Raw genomic sequence first — 7500 nt, 5'->3', positions numbered from 1 at the left:
GGCTTGGCCTAGAATCGGGTAGAGGGGATGTGAAACCAAGGAGGGGGTTACACTGGGGAACATGTCACTGGGCCTCTACTCACAGAAACAGCTTAAAGCCACCTGTACCCACATTTGGGAAACGTGTGTCTCTGGTCTCCTGGAGGCATAAATTGAACATTATAATATTCTAGGGAAGAGCAAACAGCAACCCACTGAGGGGTCTTGGGCCATGGGAAAGTCTTCCATTCCTCTACTTCTGCTCTAAAGGGTTGATTGTTGTACACTCCAAAGCAAAAGAGGAAAATCAAACCCAGCTCAGAAGTCCGCCCACATTCTGCGGTGGAGAGAGTTGCCAAAACCATTCTCTGCACCTGTAGGATGAAGTCGCAGGTTCACAGAGCAGGGACAACTGTCAGATGTCCACCCCGCAACATGGCTCCCTCACAGGAGAGTCCACAGTTATGGACCTAGGTTCTCTGCTGGGCTGCGCTGGACAACCCGTCCTTAGAACTCTAAATCCTGCCTTTGCACAGGCTTCCTTGGAGCTCTCTGAGGCCTTGGTGACTTGCACCTTTGTGCACACTACAATTGGCTTCCTTGAGCTTGGCAACCCCAGAGCAGCAGCCTCATTGGACTTCTGTTTGTACAGGACTTGTCAAGCAGGTTATGCTGCTTTTCTGCCACCTTTCTTTCCAGACACCTCTAAAATGTAAAGTTATCAGGAAATAAGAGAGGGATAAGGTTTTCTCACCACAATCCCAGAGGCCTACAAAGGCTGCCTAGACCGTGGGCTTTGCTGAAGGCCTGCTGCTGGTCTCTTAAATGGTGAGGCATGTTTTTTAAGGATTGTAGAGGAAGAGTTGTCAAATATAAGGTCAGAGTCAAATGCACTGTGTTTCTATCATTACTGCTGGCCTCTTTACAGAGGGAGTAAAATGCACCCCTCGACGCTGGCAGCAAGTCCTCTGGTTGCATCAATAATTTTCGCTTGCACAGAAAAATCCCCCAGTAACGCATAGATGGTCATGAACTCCCCTTTCTATTTTGCAGACCTAGAAAGCGTGGTAGAGAGAAATTAAATGCCTTTGTGAATCAGCAAAAAACACATAGGGATAAAACCCAGGACAGCTGGTCTACCTGCTTTAACCCATGCATTCAGCACACCATGGGGAAAATAGTTATTTTTTCACTACAAAAGAGGTGACCTTCTACTTCAGACATGTAAGATAAAAAAATTTTTTAAAGATACGGTTGTTTTGTTGAGAGAACAATCAATAAAATAGTAATGCCCAGTACAGTTTTATCCAGAGGTCAAGGTAGTATCTAACCAAGGTCAAGACTGTATTGAGTCAAGAGTTCAAAGGCCACTATCTTCCCCATAGTATGAGTCAGTCAAACTGAGATTGCTTCAAGGTTAAGGAAGGAATCATCAAATTGCCAACAGTCATACCAAACAGGACAGGGAAATTGGCTATTCCTGTCACATCTCCTTTCCATTAATTATTAAGTAGTTGACTTAGGGAGCAACCCTCTCAGATTCGGGGAGAGTCCATTTATGAGACATGAACTCAAATCTACCACACAGCAGCCCAGTCCCCCCCACCTGATCCCACATGGCTGCCTGGCAGTTCTAAGGGGCTTCCAAAAAATTCTCCAGTTAAAGGCACAAAACCTTTGAACAGGCCTTCAATTCTAGTGCTCCCACCCAGATGAGACTACTCAGGAGTTGAGATAAAATCCTGAAAACATGGGCAAAGTTCAACTGACAGCTGCCCCTTCTAGGCCACGAACTGGCACACCTGGCCAGTTGGCAACGGTTCCTTCCTTCAGCAGATCTTACCTGCCTGAGCAGGAAACGGTGATAAGGCTAAAGCTAGTTCATGTTGACTGTCACGCTTTCTCACACTTGAGCAGAGCCCAATTTAGAAATAGCCTTAAACTGTTGCTTCAGTTCAGTATGTCACAGAGCCATCAAAAATAATAGAGAATGTATGTCAAAGTGTTTTGTAAGCTGTAAAGCCCAACCTACCGTAGTACATATTATCATTTTGATATTAAATAATGCTAAAGAAGAATATTAAATTGTAAATAAACATTGATAACTATGGAACCATGTAGGTATACGGCTAAAGACTTGAAGTCAGATACGGGTAACTGGTAACTATGCAAAAAGGCTCAATTAGAAAAAAATCTTTTCAGGTGGTTTAAACATTTAATGAACAATAAAGTGTAAATGGTTTCCTTTAATTATAGATGTCTATGATCCAATTCAATAGTGAAGCTAATGTCATAAATCTTAACCTGAAGGGGATTTCTAGGTAGATTTCCTCAAGTCCAGCCCTGCGTCCTCTATGACTGCAAAGTAAATGGACCTTTTTTTTTTAAGGCATAGACAAGCAGTCCTCAACCTTTTTGGCACCAGGGACTGGTTTGGTGGAAGAACATTTTTCCACGGACTGGGGGCAGAGGGATGCTTTCAGGATGATTCAAGCACATGACATTTATCATTAGATTCTCATAAGAAGCACACAACCTAGATCCCTCACATGTGTCATTCACAACAGGGTTCGTGCTCTTACGAGAATCTAATGCTGCCACTGATCTGACAGGAGGCGGAGCTCAGGTGGTAATGCTCACTTGCCCGCCACTCACCTCCTGCTGTGCGGCCCAGTTCCTAAAAGGCCACGGACAGTACTAGTCTGCGGTCTGGGGGTTGGGGACCCCTGGTATAAACTGTTCTTACAGGAGGTATAAAAGTGCTTGTCACTGCATAATCCACCTGTAATTTACTCCTCTGTGCCGAATAAACAGCCAGCTTGAAGAAGGAGTAGACAGGTGACAGAAGCCTTTACATAAGGCCCATGAACTGAAGCACAGGCCTCAAGTGTTATAAGAAGGGGAGGCCGGGGAGCGGTGGCTCATGCCTATAATCCCAGCACTTTGGAAGACCGAGGCGGGCAGATCACTTGAGGTCAGGAGTTCGAGAACCGCCTGGCCAACATGGTGAAACCCCGTCTCTACTAAAATTTTAAAAATTAGCCAGGCGTGGTGGCGCGTGTCTGTAATCCCAGCTACTCGGGAGGCTGAGGCAGGAGAACTGCTTGAGCCCGGGAGGTAGAGGGTGGAGTGAGCTGAGATCGCACCACTGCACTCCAGCCTGGGCAACAAAGAGAGACTCCGTCTCAAAGTAAAAAATAAAAATAAAAAAAAATTTAAAAAAGGAAGAGGAGCTACTTTCTCCGCGGGGTCTCCTGTCATGGAGCCACCAGAGGGGCTCACACCTGCGGGCCACCAGGCCCTTAGGCCTCTTCCCTGCCTGTGATGCAACCTATACAGACGTGTGCTGTAACGCTGGCTGCACTTTTCATGACCATGTACGTCACAGATCCATTCCCCCCACGCTTTTAATCAAGCCTCTTAACTAGAAAACCAGCTCCAAGGAGGCTAAAGGGTCTGTTTTCTTAGGTCTTACTTCTTCTTCTCTGAGTCTTTCTTTAGGATGATTATGGCTCTCCAGTGACTTCACAGGTGACACCAAAGAGGGAGATGAGGAACAAAGCAATGCACAATGATCAAAGGGAACAGATACCACAAATAGAACAGAAAGCTCCCAGGCACGCTGCCACCACGAGGGAGAGGGCCCTAAAGGATGGTTTTTACACCACAGCGCCTACACAACAAAAGCTGGGTCTGTGAGGTGTGCGGTTGGCTTGCGCCCGCCTGCGGGATGCCGGGCATGTCTGCGTTATATAAGGTTTCTCCTGTACTGTGCTCTCTTCTGGGAGTCAGACAAACTCCCCATTCAACAGCTCTCAATCCAGGGTGGTTGTTTATAGATATGCAAGGGCAGGCGACCTCCTCAGAGCTAAAAGGCAAGTCCTCTGCATGCTGGTGTTCCAGCCGTAGTTCACCTACCCCCACAATACAGACAATGTCTCTTCCCTGACACAAAAGCCACTGTGCGTGCCCTTTCTCTGAATTGCTGCAGACTCAGATTCAAATCCTGGCAATGATATTTCCCAGCTGTGTGATTTGCACAAGTAACTTGGTCCCAAAGCTCGGTTTCCTCACCTGTAAACTGGAGATAAAAACACCTATCTTGAAAGGCTGTGCAGATGAAGTGAAGTGTATGTGTGTGTCGATGGCTTACACTGCAGTGTGACAGTGGCTGGAAAACAGGAGTCATTTCTCTGCCTCTCTCTAGCCTAAGTACTCATATGCTTAATCCTGAAATAATCTGTACTTTTCTTTTAAGACAGGGTCTGGCTCTGTCACCCAGGCTGGAGTGCAGTGGTGTGATCACGGCTCACTGCAGCCTTGAACTCCTGGGCTCAAGCAATCCTCCCACCTCAGCCTCCCAAGTAGCTGGGACTCTAGGCATGCCCCACAGCTGGCTAATTGTTTTTTCTAGGGATGAAGTTTCACTATGTTGTCCAGGCTGGTCTTGAACTCCTGGGGGCAAGCGATCCTCCTGCCTTGCCCTCCCGAAGTGCTGGGATTACAGGTGTGAGCTACGGTGCTCAGCCCTGTACTTTTAAATTATTTGTGTATTTATAGTGTCTCCCCACCTAGATTATGAAGGAATCATGCCATTTTCATTTTTACGACCTACTGTATGAGCTAAGTGCATAGTGGGTACACAAAATTACCTGTGGCCTAGGCTACTGCAAGAGTGGATCATTTCCCCACATCCAAGGATATCTGGTACTGTTTCCTGAGGAAATGACTGTGGGTTCTGAACACAGCTGGTCTCCCCTCTTTTCCTTCAGCTCCTCACACTCCTTCTTCCAAACATACCCCTTGCCATTTCAAATGCCCTTAAGAATTCTCATGAGCCAAGTTATCCATTCATTTGGTCATTTCTTGAGTACATTTCTAGAGTACATAAACATTTCTTTAGTATGTACTATAGGCCAAATATAAGAGGCACTGTGGATACACAGCTGGATGTAGAAATAGCTAATATACAATTCTTGCCTACCCTTGAAGCAACTGGAGGGAGTCAGATGGGAAGTTAACTGTCTTAGTCATGTTGTACTGCTAGGAAGGAATATCTGAGGCTGGGGAATTCATAAAGAAAAGAGGTTCATTTGGCTTACAGTTCTACAGGCGCTACAGGAAGCATGGCCCTAGCATCTGCTTCTGGTGAGGACCTCAGGCTGCTTCCACTCGTGGCGGAAAGTGAGGCGAGCCGGCGTGTGCAGAGATCACGTGGCAAGAGAGGAAGCAAGAGAGAGGCAGGGGGAGGTACCAGGCTCTTTTTAGCAATCTGCTTCTGTGAGAACTAACAGAGCGAGAACTCACTCACCCCACCACAGGGAGGGCAGCAATCTACTCAAGAGGGATCCACTTCCATGACCCACACACCTTGCATTAGGCCCCACCTCCAACACTGGAGATCAGGTCTCAACATGAGGTTTGGGGAGAGAAACATCCAAACTACAGCAGCAACATCTGAAGTAATACAGATGAGTGTACATGTAAATCCTATGGGAAAAGAAAAAGCCATAATTCAGCCTCAGAATAGGATTCTGAAATTTTTAAAATATATATTGCCTTTGAGATAGACCTTCAATGCACTTAACTTTGTTGAAACAGCAGGTTAAAAAGGGAACTCCAACCTGGTCTGTTACAAAATAGGTCAAAATTTATTAAAGCAAATAACATCCCAAGGAAAAGCTCGGGGCTGCCAAGTCCTCGTCAGTGTCTTTTCTCTCATTTTGAGCCATGCACGCTGCACAAAAGAATTTTCTTACAACTAAAATTTGGAATTCTGACCAATCCATTCACACACATATTCACAGCATGACATATAAGTACTCAGCACTAGCCTAGAAGTTGAGTGGAAAAAAAAAAAAAACAGCTAAAAAGAAAGATAAGTCTTAAGAGCTCCCTGCAGATTCCTGGCAGGGAACATGTTCTGGAGAACAGATGTGCCGCGACCCAAGGTGAAGCTGATGGGGAAGTGGGCAGGGAAGTGGGGTGGCCGTAAGTTCACGATAAAAGAAACAGTCATAAAACTATACACTTCCCAAATGCAAATTTGGAGAACCTCAGGGCAGGAGGATAAGACCTATGTGTCTGGAGCAACCACTCCAAGACACTGGAGCAGCCACAACCGAAACTCTGTTGCGATTTATTCAGTGTCTGCCTACGATTTCATGTTAATACAGGACACCCAGTCCAAATAGATTTGGGAAACCTGCAAGGGTCTCGTGCAAGGACCTCACAGCCAGACAAGCCTCTTATCTAGAGACATATCTACTACAAATATCTTAAGGAACTGTTTCAACAATTTTCCCAAGTTAACACTTTATTCCTAGTTCTCTAAGGCTTATTATTTTTCAGCCCCTCACTCCCCTCAACTCTTTATTCTTGTCACCAACTCAACCCTCTTCTGATACACAGAGCACAAATAAAGGCTTCCTGAAGACTAGGCCTTACTTGTCTTTGTATCCTACCCTCCATCTCTGCTAGTATCTAGCAGAGTAACCGGCATATAGTAGACTTTCAATGTTCATTTAATACTCAGCCATAGGGCAAGCAAAGAGAAACAATGAGGAAATAGACCCTTGAAAATCACACCGCATACAGATTCTCCCCTAAGTATAAAGTCTCCTGGTACTGATGGGCACAGGCCCACTCCACGTGATCGGCTCAAAATACTAAGGATCCACGAACAGGCCTTGCAGCTTTCTCCCAAACCATACTCCTTTCTCTGGGAGCTGCCTGCCAAGAAGGCTGCGCATGGAAACCTTAAACCTTGCTGTAAGCCCTGGCCACATCAATGGTGCAAAAGTAGCCCCTATCAGGACCTGTCAAGGGGAAACCTGAGCTGCAAGAGTAACTGGAGACTCAGGCAGCTGACCTGCTTACGATCCCTTAGTTGAGAGTTTAAACCAACTGTAACTGGGCAGTACTTGACAACCAGCTTCCCTAATGAGACCAAGAGTTAGGAGAGCTGACACACAGCACCCTCAGGTCAGGGGTGGGGGAGGGAGTATGCCACCACTGCACGGGTCAGAGAACATAGGGTGACTTTAAAGGCCCTGTTCTTCCTCTGGGCACCCCCGAGAGTGTAGGTCCGGCCCTCCCAGACCAGGACTCCTATGCTCTTCCTGGGGACTCTCAATGACACCTGGCCTTGTCCCAAGGAATACTCGTTTTAAAGATTTTTGATGGGTGGTCCAGGTAGAAGCTAGTGAAATAAAAGCTTTCTCAATGGTTGGTGATGCCACCTTGTCTTGACATGTGGGCCCCTGCAGTTGGGGAAAAGAAAGAGCAGAGGCCAAATTTACCAATGTGTTGGTCAAGGAGAGGCCAGGATAGGACAAAGGAAGAGAAGGGAACCCTGATAGATAAACCCTGTTTGATTTTTAAGGATAACGAGATTCAAGTAATTAATGTTCACCAAACTCCTACTATGTGCCGGGTACCACGCTGGAATAAAAGGCAAAGAACAGGTGAACAGTCCTGAAAAAACTCACAAAGGTCATACTTTATAACTAAGGTACATTT

The 7500-nt window shown here is 46.1% G+C and overlaps 1 protein-coding gene across 9 annotated transcripts in view, besides 7 other annotated features; it reads right to left on the bottom strand.

Annotated features, from left to right (window-relative positions):
- The window catches only part of ETV6 (ETS variant transcription factor 6), a 245704-nt gene that overhangs the window by 164374 nt on the left and 73830 nt on the right, over positions 1-7500 (bottom strand). The window lies entirely within an intron of this gene.
- Positions 139-238: an enhancer, noted in NCBI's record as "active region_5979". NCBI's record gives its function as "activates an Ori minimal core promoter by ATAC-STARR-seq in GM12878 lymphoblastoid cells {active_cell/tissue: GM12878}" and the evidence as "EXISTENCE:reporter gene assay evidence [ECO:0000049][PMID:35858748]".
- Positions 479-588: an enhancer, noted in NCBI's record as "active region_5978". NCBI's record gives its function as "activates an Ori minimal core promoter by ATAC-STARR-seq in GM12878 lymphoblastoid cells {active_cell/tissue: GM12878}" and the evidence as "EXISTENCE:reporter gene assay evidence [ECO:0000049][PMID:35858748]".
- Positions 1839-1988: a silencer, noted in NCBI's record as "silent region_4246". NCBI's record gives its function as "represses an Ori minimal core promoter by ATAC-STARR-seq in GM12878 lymphoblastoid cells {active_cell/tissue: GM12878}" and the evidence as "EXISTENCE:reporter gene assay evidence [ECO:0000049][PMID:35858748]".
- Positions 3619-3668: an enhancer, noted in NCBI's record as "active region_5977". NCBI's record gives its function as "activates an Ori minimal core promoter by ATAC-STARR-seq in GM12878 lymphoblastoid cells {active_cell/tissue: GM12878}" and the evidence as "EXISTENCE:reporter gene assay evidence [ECO:0000049][PMID:35858748]".
- Positions 4999-5058: an enhancer, noted in NCBI's record as "active region_5976". NCBI's record gives its function as "activates an Ori minimal core promoter by ATAC-STARR-seq in GM12878 lymphoblastoid cells {active_cell/tissue: GM12878}" and the evidence as "EXISTENCE:reporter gene assay evidence [ECO:0000049][PMID:35858748]".
- Positions 5259-5458: an enhancer, noted in NCBI's record as "active region_5975". NCBI's record gives its function as "activates an Ori minimal core promoter by ATAC-STARR-seq in GM12878 lymphoblastoid cells {active_cell/tissue: GM12878}" and the evidence as "EXISTENCE:reporter gene assay evidence [ECO:0000049][PMID:35858748]".
- Positions 6530-6749: an enhancer, noted in NCBI's record as "active region_5974". NCBI's record gives its function as "activates an Ori minimal core promoter by ATAC-STARR-seq in GM12878 lymphoblastoid cells {active_cell/tissue: GM12878}" and the evidence as "EXISTENCE:reporter gene assay evidence [ECO:0000049][PMID:35858748]".

The sequence above is a fragment of the Homo sapiens genome, chromosome 12 (genome assembly GCF_000001405.40).
Source record: "Homo sapiens chromosome 12, GRCh38.p14 Primary Assembly".
Lineage (NCBI taxonomy): Eukaryota > Metazoa > Chordata > Mammalia > Primates > Hominidae > Homo > Homo sapiens.
This window is presented reverse-complemented; position numbering and strand designations above follow the sequence as displayed.